This window comes from Homo sapiens, chromosome 8 (genome assembly GCF_000001405.40).
Source record: "Homo sapiens chromosome 8, GRCh38.p14 Primary Assembly".
Lineage (NCBI taxonomy): Eukaryota > Metazoa > Chordata > Mammalia > Primates > Hominidae > Homo > Homo sapiens.
The window spans coordinates 37,521,139-37,535,772 of NC_000008.11; the positions used below are offsets into that span (position 1 = coordinate 37,521,139).

At 48.0% G+C, this 14,634-nt stretch overlaps 1 long non-coding RNA gene across 4 annotated transcripts in view, besides 2 other annotated features; it reads right to left on the reverse strand.

Annotated features, from left to right (window-relative positions):
• Positions 1 to 14,634, reverse strand: part of LINC01605 (long intergenic non-protein coding RNA 1605) — a 196,324-nt gene that overhangs the window by 117,623 nt on the left and 64,067 nt on the right. Inside the window, exons 3-5 of one of the 4 annotated variants that reach the window (NR_170187.1) lie at positions 10,174 to 10,263; positions 7,959 to 8,052; positions 170 to 238 (exon numbers count right to left, since the gene is read on the reverse strand). This is a non-coding gene — a long non-coding RNA (long intergenic non-protein coding RNA 1605). Of the gene's footprint in view, positions 1 to 169; positions 262 to 7,958; positions 8,053 to 10,173; positions 10,264 to 14,634 lie in introns of those variants that run through there. The other 3 variants (NR_170188.1, NR_170186.1, NR_121621.2) reach the window with 3 other exon arrangements.
• Positions 26 to 1,225: an enhancer, noted in NCBI's record as "P300/CBP strongly-dependent group 1 enhancer chr8:37378682-37379881 (GRCh37/hg19 assembly coordinates)". NCBI's record gives its function as "activates an origin of replication core promoter dependent on BRD2, BRD4, P300/CBP, MED14 and CDK7 cofactors, with strong dependence on P300/CBP, by STARR-seq in HCT116 cells {active_cell/tissue: HCT116}" and the evidence as "EXISTENCE:reporter gene assay evidence [ECO:0000049][PMID:35650434]".
• Positions 8,663 to 8,875: a silencer, noted in NCBI's record as "fragment chr8:37387319-37387531 (GRCh37/hg19 assembly coordinates)". NCBI's record gives its function as "represses an EF-1alpha promoter that drives an FKBP-Casp9 reporter gene in an ReSE screen in K562 erythroleukemia cells {active_cell/tissue: K562}" and the evidence as "EXISTENCE:reporter gene assay evidence [ECO:0000049][PMID:32094911]".

Below are 14,634 nucleotides of genomic sequence, written 5' to 3' on the forward strand. Positions count from 1 at the left end.
ACGGGCGTTACCGAAAAAAAAAATTAAAAATTAAAAAAAAAATTTTAATCAAAAAAGGAGATTGTTAATACCCCGAGTAACAAGTAACAGTTCTATTTTGTAAACTAACACATTTTATTTATTTAATTTTTAATTTTGTTGCAGATGTTAGACGTGTTTCTCCTCCTACCTCTTAAGCTGTGTTGCTGGAATCTGGACTTTCCATTCAAGCTGGGGCCCATCAATCACTCGGCGGCTCCTGCTTGGAGAAGCAGAGGCAGTGCAGGCTGCAGGGTGAGGCAGGACTCATAGCCCACAGCCCTGTGTCCTGGGGGGGCCCTGCAGGGCCCCGCTTCCCCCCGTCCGTCCGCAGGCCCACAGCGCTGAATCATGTCCCCTTCACCCTCTGGCCTTGACCTGGACCCCAAAGTCTGGCTCCCACTCTGCGCAGGCCTGTGGGATTTTTAAGATTGTGGATATTTACGGGGAAGGGCAGCGGGGGATGACTAAGATGACAGGAACTCATAGGCCTGGCTAACTTGATTTTATTTTTATCTTCCCTTCCTGTCTCTGACAAGTCCACTTTTCTCCTGAATCATCATATCAGAAACGTTGGAGAAGCCAGAATTCACAGATCAGAGGAAGCAACTCGTGGGGGGGCGGGGGGCGGGGCTTCTGGGTGTTCCCCTATACCTAGGAAATCAAAGGACAGGAGAGTCCAAGACAAAACCCCTTGTGTTTCGCATCCTTCCCGCACACCACCTCACCCTGCAGTCAAAGAGGAGGGTCCGCTGCTCTCGCCTCCTGGAAGTGGCCTCAGTTACCCTTCAGGGTGAGCTGTTTTCTCTTTAATGGCAGCCCCAACAAGTCATAACCTCCAAATAATCACTGTTATTACTACTGCCTTCCTCCTGGGAGTTCAAAATGGGATCTCATTTGCCCTCTCACTCACACGGTTAAGAAGCAAGCAGGCAGGGACAGAAAAGAGCTTTTTTCTCAAGTTCACCTAGAGGCAGTGGCCTTGGGGTCACCCTGCAAGCTGACGATGGACCCCAGCACTTCGGGGTGGGGAGGAGGCCCTCGCTCACAGACCACAGGCTCTTTCCCCCCTTGCTCCCCATGGGGGCGGGCTTCCTCCCTTGAATCCTGGAGCTTCCGCTTAATTTTTATTTGGCAAGGACAATATCAGACACTAACACTTTCTTTTCTATCTCTTGGCCTGCTCGATATGTGAATGTGGTGATAATCAGGATAATGCCCTTAGGTGTGAGCTTTTTCTATTTCCTGATAACAATGAGGCTGGATCAGAGCTAAAGGGGGTCTTTCACTACCAATGGGGAAGAGCCCAGAAACCCAGAGCAGCTGTCTTTTAGGTCAGGACGCACAGTGCCAATCTTTCTGCAATGAACTGGGGTTACCACTAGTTCTGCCCAATTCAGTATTTCTCCCTGTCAATTAGCTATTTATTAAGCAGCTTTCATGTCTAAGACACCCTGCTCAGCATTGTGTGAATTACAGAGAAGTACAAAACACGATCCTCATCTTAAAAGAGCATGCAGTCCATATGGGGTGTTGAAATGGTGATGCAAACAAGATTAACACAGAACAAAATAGATCCTGACCAGGAACAAAGTGAGTGCAAGTACAGGAAGAAAGCATGGTGAGTGAAGGGGGCGTGAAACCCAGCCCTGCCACCAACTGTGGGGTCTCAGAAAGAACGTTCTCCCTAGAAACTGAGATGGTTGGCCAGATGATCAGAAGGCCCCTGCATTTCCTGTGGATTTTTTAGAAGAAGAGGAGCTGGGAGATTGTGAACCTAAAAACCCTTTATAAACTGTAAACAGTTCTGAGATTGCTAGTGCTGGTATTGTTGCTGTGGGCTGGGCTGATTAGGCCTGTCTTCACTGGGGGATCAGGTTATGATCCAGCACCGAACATAGCAGATGAAGGAGCAAATGAACACACAGATAAAGAAGCAAGCTGGGCCTTCAAAGAGGGATACAATTCAGTTGCACTTTGCTCACATTCTGCCTTTGGCACCCACAGCTTCAGCTCCATCTCCCAACCTCTCACCACCCCATGGTAAGCTCCAGGGCCTGCCTCATGCCAGCAGACAGCAGGCTGGGAAGGTGAGAATGCCTGGAGGCAACTCAAAGGAAAACACCGATATTGCTTTTCCAGGCCAGGGTGAAACAAAACCACAAATAAGGACAGCACATCTTGGGAGTGAGAGACCCTAGATCAGCCGGATAGAAACCCTGTGGTGGGACCAAAAGTCACCGAGCCATGGAACCTGCAAATAGCCAGGTTCACCAAGCTTACAACCCACAGGATTCGGAAAGGCATACAGGTCTGTTGACCTGTACAGATCGGTCCCAGGGGAGGAAATAGCTCTACTGAAATTTGTTAGGGAGACCATGTATTGGACACACCAAGGACACCCCATGTTCCTGCAACATAAGGATGCATCCATTATCTAACATGAATTATCAGGAGAGCCCCCAACTTATTTGATTCCTGTATTTGGATCAAGTCAGAGAAAACCCTTAAAGATGGTTATTAAGAAACCAAAGCAGGCCCATGCCTATAATTCCAGCACTTTGGGAGGCTGAGACAGGAGGATTACTTGAGGCCAGGAGTTTGATACCAGCCTGAGCAACATGGTGAAACCCCGTCTTTATGCAAAAATTTAAAAATTAGCTGGGTATGGTGGCATGTGCCTGAAATCACAGCTACTCAGGAGGCTGAGGCAGGAGGATGGCTTAAGCCCAGGACTGGAGGCTACAGTGAGCTAAGACTGCACCACTGCACTCTATCCTGGGTGACAGAGTGAGGCACTGTCTCTGGGGGGAAAAAAATGAACTTAAAGTAAAAGAAACTGGCCGGGTGCAGAGGCAGCCTGTAATCCCAACACTTTGGGAGGCCAAGGTGGGCGGATCACGAGGTCAGGAGATTGAGACCATCCTGACTAACACAGTGAAACCCCGTCTCTAATAAAAATACAAAATATAAGCCAGGTGTGGTGGCACACGCCTGTAGTTCCAGCTACTTGGGAGGCTGAGGCAGGAGAATCGTTTGAACCTGGGAGGCAGAGGTTGTAGCAAGCTGAAATCACACCACTGTACTCCAGCCTGGGCGACAGAGCGAGACTGTCTCAAAAAAAAGAAAGAAGAAGAAAAGAAAAAGAAACCAAAGCAGAGTGAGGTTTGGTGCCTTATGTACAATCACACAGCCAGCCAGCAGATTTAGAAACTGCTGGGTCGAGTTTTCCTCTGAGACAGTTGCTTTTTTTTTTCCTTCCCCTCAACAAGATGGTCCCTCCAGGGAAAGGTTCAGTTATACCAAATGTGACTAATAAAAAAAAATTGTTTAAAGGTTTTTCTGTAAAATCAACATTTCACTTTATATTTTATTGGATTAGTGTTTGCTAACCTCCAAAGTTTCTTGGCCAGCAAATTGGAGACCATTTCCCTTATATAATGAGCTTCTCCTGATTGGATGAGGTGACTCAAGTCTTAGGGAAGGCAGGAGCTCGCTGCATGACCTAGGTAGGGCCCCAGGGCAGGCCCAAAGGACTGAGGCCCAGCCTAGGAGCTGCAGGCTCATAGCACTGCCTTCTGCAACAAATGGAGGCAGGACGCTTTGCTCCCGGACACAGTCACTCCCTGGTGCAATGCTATAGCCCATTGCCTCCTATCTGGGGTCCATTACCCACCCGGCAGGAGGAACTTCAGTTTGAAAGGAGAATGGAGGCCCATCTCTTTCTACTGCCTCCAGGCAGCATTTTGGGTTTTGCAACCAAAGAGAAAAGAAAAAAATCTTGAACTGTTTTTCAAATGTTCTGGGTCTTGGCAAACCCCAAAATGCCTTTTGCCAAATGCTTTTTTCCCTCGATTTTTAAACCTCGGGTGTATTTCCAGAACAATCCAATCCATCTGCTTCTGATTCATTTACACTTAACTCATTAGGAGGCTGTTGCGTAAGGAGCAGTTTGACGTCCCCAAGATCCCGGGTGAGGGATTCTTCTTCCCCTTTTGAATCAGAGAGAGGAGACTTGCCAGTTGGGCATGAATCACAAACCCCCCAAAAAATGGAAGCCTGGCTTGAAACGCCGAGCCCCAGGGATGAGAACCAGCTTCTCTGCATCCCTACCCATCATCCATCCTTCTCTGCACTACCCATCAGATCATTCTCACTATTACAGCTGTTACTGTCATTAAGGACATAATCAACAGTCATAGATTATTGTGAGTGGTTTAGCATTGTAGTTCACTGTGTGCCATTCTTTATTCATCCACTCCAGAGTCATCTATTGAGGCATTAGACAAATGCTCCCAGACAACTGTGAACTACCAGCAGGGCCTAGGGTGGAGTATCAAATATGGGACTTACATCTAAACACCCATCTCATCTTGTTTTACTTTCTGCAAAGATTGTGAATGCTACCAGGAAAGTCCAAGGGAGGCGTGTGGGGAGAGAGAAGTTTATCAGGGTAGAAAGCAAAGCTCGAGAGAGTGAGGAAGGCCCAAACAGAAGCACAAAGAGAGAAAGCCTGCTGATTTCGGGGGCCATGAGTGACTGTTCAACCTAAGCTATAGGCTTGTGTTGCACCCGCGGGAACCTATGTATTGCATAGGCTTGCATTGTCACCCCCTTCTTTAGTGGAAAAGGGGTTCTTTTCTCCATCTTCCAGTTCTTCATTAGCATCATTCTCCAAACCACCTTTATTAAAAAAGAATGCAAAATGTGTTGAGTAACCAGCCATAAAAAGGAATGAATTAATGGCATTTGCAGCAACCTGGATAGGATTGGAGACTATTATTCTAAGTGAAGTAACTCAGGAATGGGAAACCAAACATCGTATGTTCTCTTTCATAAGTGGGAGCTAAGCTGTGAGGATGCAAAGGAATAAGAATGACACAATGGACTTTGGGGACTCAGGGGGAAAAAGGTGAGAGCGGATAAGGGATAAAAGACTGAAAACAGGGTGCAGTGGGTACTGCTTGGGTGATGGGTGCACCAAAATCTCACAAATCCCCACTAAAGAACTTACTCATGTAACCAAATACCACCTGTTCCCCAATAACCTATGGAAATAAAATTTTTTAATAGAAATATTGAGTAACAACTATATGTTCAGCCCTGCCCTATGCTGGGAACCATAGGGGACAGAAAAGGCAGATGAGGCGGTCTTCCCTTGAGGCCTTTGCACCCCATCTGGGGAAATGTGTCGTTTTCCATGACTGTATGTTTTTAGTAGGGCAGCCCTTGGCCAAATGGGTGAAGCACAGAGAAGGTATCAGAGATGTCCAGCAGGGAGAGAGGTCTCATGAGCTGAACTGGTCAGGAACAACCTCACGGAGGAAGTTGGTTTCAGAGAAGCCAGGCTGGAAGATGAGCCCTTGGCTATGCGGAGAGGAAGAGGAAGGCATATCCCTGGAAGAGGAGACAGGATGAAGGCTCTGCAGCAGGAAAGAGCATCGCAAGTTTGTGGGGTGATAAGACTCCAACTATGTGGAGGAACGAAGGCAAATCCATGGGGAAGTGGGTTGTAAGTGATTCTCCGAAGTCTGCATTTAATCGCAAAGAGCCAGCGTGAGTCACTGGAGGGTTTTGAGCAGGGAAGCATGATGGAGAAGGCATCATTTTAGGAGAGATAATCGAGTGCAAATGCACAGCGTGGACTGAGGTGAAGACAGACCGAAGGCGGGGAACCAGCTGGGAGTCTGTGGCAATCGCTTAAGCACATCACGTCAGGGATCTCAAACAAGGCGGTGACAGCAAGGAAGAAAATGAGGGAACAAATCAACTGAACTGGATGACTCAGTGGCTGAAGACCCTGAAGAAGGCAGAAGAGTTAAGGTGACACAAAAACCCAGGAGCCTCTGGAGAGAGGGCATTTTCAGCTCCAAAGGACATTGATGTAGCAGTGGCATACGTGCCAGGCAGAACTGAGTGTCTGGCATGAGTTACCTCACAATCCTTGCCACAGAAAGGCAAAGCAGGGGCTGGGTGCGGTGGCTCATGCCTGTAATCCCAGCACTTTGGGAGGCCAAGGCAGTCTAATCACCTGAGGTCAGGAGTTTGAGACAAGCCTGGCCAACATGGCGAAACCCCGTTTCTACTAAAAATACAAAAATTAGCTGGACGTGGTGGTAGGCGCCTATAATCCCAGCTACTCAGGAGACTGAGGCAGGAGAATCACTTGAACCTGGGAGGCAGAGGTTGCAGTCAGCTGAGATTGTGCCACTGCACTCCAGCCTGGGCAACAAGAGCAAGACTCTGTCTCAGAAAAAAAAACAAAAAAGGCAAAGCAGCCATTGTTATTACCCTTGCTTTACTGTTGAGGAACTGGGACATTGATGCGTTTATTAACTTGCCCCCAAATTCACCCACAGAACGTGTGGGACTCCAGCATTTAACCTCACCAATTGCTGCCCTGGCTCCCACCACTTCCCTGAGCCAAGCCTCCATTCCTCTCTCCCTCATCTCCTCACCTCTAATGTCTTAATCATCCTGAAATGCCTCTGCCGGCCGCATTACGTGCCTAAATCCAAATCATGCCTCGACTCTTTCCAGAACCCTCTGTCGCCATGCTAGCGTCCACAGACCTGCTCCCTTGAACACCTCCTCTGAGATTCACTGTCCACGCACTGTGCTTTTCCTGGCTTGGTCGGTTCCTGTGTTCACGTACTTCCTGGCTTTGCAGCTTGGCACTGGAGCTGAGTCTGAACCCCAGCCTTACCCTGAAGTAGTTACGTAGCCTTGGGCAAGTTACTCAACCTCTTCAAGTCTGTTTCCTCAACTGTCAGCTGGAGATAAAAGGGTTATTGTCAAAAGTAGATGAGAAAATGCCTGGAACATCGAAGACACTCCGTGAATGGTATCAATCAATATGATTACAGTTGTTTTATTAATAGTCTTGTGATGGACAATGTCATGTTCAAAGCTTTGGCTGTGGTAGTGTGGTAGAAATATTCTTCTGCTTGTTTTTTTATTGTTTCAACAGCTGTCTATAGCATTTTGGTATTCAGGGCTTAGAATCTGAGAATTATTACATTTATGTCACTGCATGGAGAACAAATGTGTCAGCTGAGGGAGTCTTGTCATGGTATGCTTTAGACAGTGATGTCCAGAGCAGGGCAGGGAGCTGTAGAAGCTGTACAGACACCCACAGCAGAGAGCCAGGCATGCTCAACCTCCCTAGGGAGAGGTGCCACCCACTCATCCCAATCTGGGTATATAGGACACAGCCCATGCAGACAGCTAGGCTAGTCCTGGCAACATCGCGTCCTCCCCAAACACTGCCCCTCACCTCACTAGCCCCTGAGAGGAAGATATGGAGAGGGAAAAAGAAACAGGTAGAGTTCATGATTGAAAATCAGGTCACCTTTTCCATCAGTGCCCTGTCTCCTCTCTGGGTCCCACTAAGCTCTCCCTCCCTGCCTTCCTTTTAGTCACCTGTGAGGCCAGTGTCTTGGGCACCCCTGAACAGCTCAGAGCACCTCCCCAGCAAGACAGCCCAGGCCATCTCTCTGCTGCTCCTGCAACCCCTTCAAACCCAGCTCCCACCAGCTGTGCATAGAAGATGACAACCCACAGTGAGATATGAATGCATGTTAGGCACTTAGAGCAAGAAAGACACATCCTTAACCCCCTCCCATACCCAAAAACCAATTACCAATGCAGAAAAGAAGTGAAGAAGACAAATTTTGCAGAGGAGAGGGGGCTGGTGTTTCAGCGAAAGGTATCTAAAGAAAACACCCTACTTTTGATTCTCTTTTATGGTTTTCAGATGCACATATTTCAACAAAATGCAACAAGGGGGCTCTGCAGGAGACAAATATGGAGACAGAAACAAAAAACTAGGGGGAAGGGCAAAGGGGGAGCCTCTGGGAGTGAAGAGCCCAAGCAGGCCATGAGGAGCTGCAAGGAACGTGTTCAGGGACAGGAGCCGAGGATGGGGAGAAGGTACCCACCTCCACATGACATCGAAACGCTTCCTGCAGCTCATCTGGGACGGAGTGGCCATTCACTGTCCCGGCACAGCCAGAACCCTGGCAGGACTGGCTACTGGAAGAGAGGAGACGAAAACTTGAGAATAGAGAAGGGATGCAGGACACACTTCCTGCAGCTCTATAGGGAGATGTGACCAGTGGAAGACAGAAACCCTTGAAGAGGTGACCTGGGGCCTTGTCCTTCCCCAAGCAGGACAATGAGTGAGTGAAACCTTCCTTTCCCCTGCAGCACCCCCGCCAGGGTGTTGGGGCTGCTCTCAGAGGAGAGAATCACTTGCGGATGGCTCTGCCTGCATTCAAGGGCAGCTAGCAGTGGGGACAGGTGGGCAGTTTTTCAGGCTCCATGAACTGCTCATTAATCCTTGGCCCTGGCAATTGACTTTCTTTTTCTTTTTAATGGGGATTCAAGGCCAAAAATCGGTACTCTCGCACACACACACACACATTTGAAGGGAGGGTGGCATGGGGAGTCAAACCCCAAAGCGCATCTCAGGCTTTAAACGGCACAGGCTGTGCTTGGGAAAATGTCACTGCTTGGCGGAGGCACGGGCAGCCTGGCAGGCTGGGAGAGGCAGAGAGCGGGAACCGAATTTAGGAGTGACTGGAAGGTCGACAAGAAAGAAAAGCCAACGTGCAGCGAATATACATAGAAACAAGGATGGCTTCCCAGCCGGGGCCCTTTCAGGGCACCCATGGGTGCCCCTGAGCTTGAAAAAGTGTCCCACATGTGTCCCCCCTGGATGCCATCCACACCAGGCTCATTCCTACTCCTGAGCCTATTTCTACTGATTCCGGTACTTGGAAAGTTGCTCTGCCACCCTCACTGAAACCACCATTACACACACAAATGCACACGTGCACGCACGCATGCACACACACACACACACACACGACCTATCCAATCTTCAAGGATAGGTACAGCCTCCATCTGCATTCAGACACTTTCCTGTCAAACAATATTGATCTTCCATCCTCTAGCCCTTTATGAATCTTGCCCACACCCCAGAATTTTTGAAAATTTGAGCCAAGTGTGACTTAGCGTTTGATCCTAATCTGCCCTTGTATTGTTTCCTAGAGGTTCACGTACATCTTGTGTCTCCCAGTAAAAACAGCGTGTCACCTGAGCTCAGGCACGTTGCCACCTGCTCCTCCTGCGTGGGTCGCTATGTCCAGCACATGTCAGGGCAAACACGGAAGGGCATGGGTGGTGGGCCGGCTCGATTCAGGACCTTGCGTTCCCGACTGGGCACCAAGGATTTGCATGACTGAGGACATCCCTGGCCCTGCCAAATACCCACATATCCCTCCTCCTCTCCTCTCTGGAGCAAAGCTTCTTTTCCATGTATTTTTTTTTCTACCCAAAGCTATTCTGCAGAGAGGCCCCTCTTTTCCAGGCTAGTCACTCTTCGCCTGATGCCTAATCAGATCCAGTGGCCCAGAGTTGACATTTTATATCAAAAGATGTCAAAAGCTTTATACTCAAAAAACCACAGCACATGGGGGATTAGACCAGGAGAATTTAACTCACTTAAGTGCGAGAAAGCCTGGTCAGGGAGATTACAGCTATTTACCCAAGAAGCAAATATCTCTGAACTCTGACTAGGCCATGAGGAACGGAGGGCTGGCCTGGTAATTTTATTATCTTGCAGGAAGAAAAAGGAGAGGAGAAAAGGGAGAATAAAAGATGAGAGGTGATAATCTCTGAAGCTGGGATCACTCTTGTGTTGCAGCACATGCCAGAAATAAAAGATAACCACTCTTGCAATCTTGCTGAGAGATGGCCCACTCAAACAGGAGGGCCGCCTGCCTGCTGCTCCGCAGACATGAGAGTCAAGGGGTGGCCTAGAGGGGAACACAGAGAGATAAATGTTCCAGGCAAAGAAAAATAGTGGGGGCAGGGGGAGGTTCCAGGAAAAGAGATGGGCAACTCAGAAAGGCTGCTTGTCTCCTCTCTTCCAGAATATATACATATATATATATATATATATATATATTCTAAGTCTCCAACAATCCTAAATGCAGAGAAAATTCTCAACTATCAAGTAAAGGGACCTCAAGAGTGGGCAATATGTCAGGTCAGAGGAAAGATCACCACATCACCCAGAAAGGCAGGTGGAGGAAGAGAGGAATGTGCAGTTTGAAAAAGCACATTTTGGCCGGGGAAAGTGGCTCATACCTGTAATCCCAGTAGGTTGGGTGGCAGGCAGATCACCTGAGGTCAAGAGTTCCAGAGCAGCCTAGCCAACGTGGCAAAATCTTTTCTCTACTAAAAAAAAAACAAAAATTAGTGGGGCATGGTGGTTCATGCCTGTAATCCCAGCTACTCAGGAGGCTAATGCAGGAGAATCTCTTGAATCCAGGAGGCAGAGGTTGCAGTGAGCCGAGATCGTGCCACTGCACTCCAGCCTGGGAGCCAGAGGGAGACTCCATCTCAAAAAAAAAGAAAAGGAGAGGAAAGGAAAGGAAAGGAGAGGAAAGGAGAGGAGAGGAGAGGAAAGAGAAAAAGCATATTTATGATTTACTTTGAAAATAAGAAAATTACTTGCTTTTTGAATATAAATTGCAGCAAGTAACACTCAACAAAATCTCCTTAGCTGATGGGGTATGATTTTTTTTAAAACAAGAATGAGTAGAAAACACTGATTCTAGTTTGTCTTCCCCATTTTCACAGACCGGAAAACTGAAGCCCAGGGAAGGCAAGTGACTTAGGCAAGATCACACAACTGCCTCCCAGGCAAACCAGGAAAAGAAACAAAATCACAGATACTTGTGCTACCAAAGAATTATTCTTGTTACCCCAAGTTTTGATATCCCGGAATGCCAAAGAGTTTTCCCCAAGAGCATCATTCCTGGGCTCAGCTTGCAGTTTGACCACCTGGATCCTGTCATCAGCATGACCCGGGGCCGTGGTCCTTCTTGGGAGGTGTCATGACATCACAGGGAAAAGCATAGGCTTCTGACGTCATGATATAATTCCTGGTTCCTCAGTTTACTAGCTGGATGACTTGAAAAACTGCTCAACCTCTCTCTGGCCTCTATGTTCTCATCTATAAAATGGAACCCACCTGACATGACAACCTCACAGAACTGTTGTGAGGAACTAATGAGATTATGTAACTAACATGCTTGCTATTTAGAAAGTGTTCCATTGTTTTGGCCAGGCACGGTGGCTCATGCCTGTAACAACACTTTGGGAGGCTGAGGTGGGTGGATCACTTGAGGTCAGGAGTTTGAGACCAGCCTGGCCAACATGGTGAAACCCCGTCTCTATTAAAAATACAAAAATTAGCCAGGCATGGTGCTGCACACTTGTAGTCCCCGCTATTCAACATACTGAGGCAGGAGAATCACTTGAACTCAGGAGGTGGAGACTACAGTCAGCCAAGATTGCATCACTGCACTCCAGCCTGAGCAACAGAGTGAAAAAAAAGAAAATGTTCCATTATTTTTCATTTCTCTTCTCCAGCATCATTTCTGAATACTTCAAATGATAAAACATCAAAGAGACCTCCTGAGGTCACTGGATGTTCATCTCATGGGTAAGAAAACTGAGGATGAGTGTGGGGAGTCCCAGCCTAACCTTCTGTCCCCAGAACATGCTGTATGGTGTGGCAGTGACTGCTAAGGGCTGACACCCGGCTCTGAACCTGCATCCCTGGGACCCTCCCCCACCTAACTACACACTTCAAGTTTAGAGGGTAATGCATAACCTGTGCCATTGCCTTTTAAAGATTGAATATTGATGGTGCTTTTATAGCCATCCTTACGGGAAACTGTTCTGGGGTCTTAGCAATCTTAGCGATTCTGTTCCTGGTGTCCTGAGGGAAGGGGCTTGAGCAACTGAACAAGAACTGTAGGCTAAAGGTAAGAAACGTTTTCTTCATGAGTCATGAGTGGAAAAGAGAAATCTGAATTAGTTTCCTACAGTTGCTGTAACAAAATACCACAAATGTGGTGGCTTAAAACCACAAGAATGTATTATCTTACTCTTGTGGAGGTCACAAATCTAAAATGGTTCCTAAATTCAGGGCTAAAATCAGGGGGTGGGCAGGGCTGTGTTTCTTTCTGGGGACTCAGGAGAAATCTGTTTCCTTGCCTTTTCCAAATTCTAGGGGCTGCCCACATTCCTTGACTCATGGCCCCTTCTGCCATCTTCAAAGCTCACAATGACCAGTCAAGTCTTTCTCACATGACATCACTGACTCTGGGTCTCTGGTCTCCCTTTCTTACTTATAAGGATCCCTATGATGACTTTGGACTCACACAGAAAATCAGGGTAATCTTCCCCTGTCAAGAGCAGCAAATTGGCAACCTTAATTCCATCTGCATCCTTAATCCCCACCCCCACCATGTAACATTCCATATTCTCAGGTTCCAGAGATGAAGACATGGATATCTTTGGAGAACTATTATTCTGCCTACCTGGTATTCAAACCTCCTCCCCATCCTTTTCCCCTTCGGGCTGACAGAGACATTGCTGCTTGATCAGAACACTCATTTCCTCCTCACATCCAGTCTCAGATTCCTTTCAAACACCATGCTTCCTCAGGCACCATGAATGCACTGGCCTTGGCATAGAAGCAGCATCCACTTGCTAGCCCTGAATTCAACATACAAAGCAAACCCTTGAACGCGGGTAGGGTGGTCTAGGAAATGCTGATCTTTGCAGGCCATCTCAGGGTTTTGGTGTAGCCCCAGCCAAAGACAGAGATGTGTAGAATCTTACGTCTCATCTCTGACATCAAAGGGACTCCACTGGCTACAAGGACCCATCCCAGCTCTCCATCTGGAACCACAGTTGATAGCAGGACATTTTCCTGGTCAGTTTTTCTTGGGAGATTTTTTGTCTGAGCACTAAGTTATTCCATGTGGGCAATTTTCCCACTTGTTTTGGGGTCACTGGACCATACTTCCTTCTGTCACTTTCTGCTTCTGCACAGAGCACCTGCAGTGACCTTATTCCTTGCAAGTAAAGAGATGCTTTTTCCACTGAGGGGCTCCTCCTGCTGGTCTCTGCAGAGAGAATGCAGAGTCCCTGAGGGTCAGTGAAAAGCTGTGTCTGTTTCCCTCGCCCTTAGAGGGTTAAAACCAAATGCACCTGACAACTGCTGGATAGTCCAAAACTCTACCATGCCTGACCATGAGAACATAATGGCTGCATTTGCCCAGACGTTGCAAGCCCCTGGCTCAGAAACAAACCCAACAACAGAAAAATAAAGGGTAAATAAATCTGGATGGGAATAAAAGAAAAAAACAGGGCCGTGTGTATTGAGTGAAGTCCTTGCTCTTCTCCTAACTGGACATAGAGTTGGGACAAGTCTCTTCAAGCCTTTGTGGGCCTTTCTTTCATGTAGCCTAAAAAAGAATGTTAGGCCAGATTAATTCTGAGATTTCTGAAAACCCTCATAGCAAACAGCTTTGGCTCTCACAGCCTGGAATGGTTTCAAAAGAGAGTAACAAGAATGGTGGAGGGCTCAGAATGGTCAGTTCAGAAAAGAGATTGAAAACACTGGGAATGTTCATCCAGGAAAAGAGAGGACGGGGGATGGTGATGGTCCTCTGGGTTTCAATCAGCCCATTTGCATGTGATCCCATTAGTGTAACTTTCTTTTTTTTTTTTTTTTTTTTTTTTTGAGACAGGGCCTTGCTCTGTTGCCCAGGCTGGAGTGCAGTGGCACAATCTCGGCTCTCTGCAACCTCTGCCTCCTGGACTCAAGTGATCTTCCTACCTCAGTCTCCCGAGTAGTTGGGACCACAGGCACATACCTTCATGCCCGGTTAATTTTTGGTATTTTTGGTAGAGACAGGGTTTCACCATGTTGCCCAGGCTGGTCTCGAACTCCTGACCTCAGGCAATCCACCCGCCTCAGCCTCCCAAAGTGCTGGGATTACAGGTGTGAGCCACCGCACCCAGCCAACAATGACTTAACTTTCACCAGCTCACTCAGAGCGGCAGCCTGTTTGCAAGTGTCCCCCAGTATTTCTAGAGTGACTTGGGGGTGCCTCATGTGTGCTCAACACACACAGCAGTTTTCTGGTCCCCATAGTTCTACTCTCATTGGCCTGATCCAGGCCTCTGCCAGGACACAGGGCGCTGCTACCTCTTGCTGGGGATCGCTGTCCTTGCCACCACAGAGATGCTCAAGACCAGAGAACCGCAGGCTCTGCAGTGCAGTGGAGGAGTGAGCCTCTCTCCCCGTTTCGTGTTAGTCTCAAGATGAGTCCCAGAGCTGGTTCCCCAGTGACTACCACATGTTAGTGTCAACCATTCTTTCCATTTTTGTGCATAGCTTTTTTGCTCTCCATAGATCTCTTAACGAAGTCCAATGGGGGCTGAGTAGTGAGACAGATTCTGCTGTGAGCTGTACACTGGGCCATGCTCAGAACCTCTCCTTTCCTGTCACAATTAAAGCTCAGTGACCAAGTTAGGTGTTAATGCCTGGTTCCTTCTTCCTTCAAGACGAGCTCCTTCCCAGGAGGCTCCATGATCTCTGGTGCACATAGGCTTCTAACAGGCCCATGCAGCAGTTCACCAGGCCTGCCCAGACCTGCCTGAACCAGGTCTGGGCCCCATTTGGGACTCCCTGCATATTTAATGTGTGGCAGCCTGCCATGTCAGAGAGGCACTGCGCTTAAG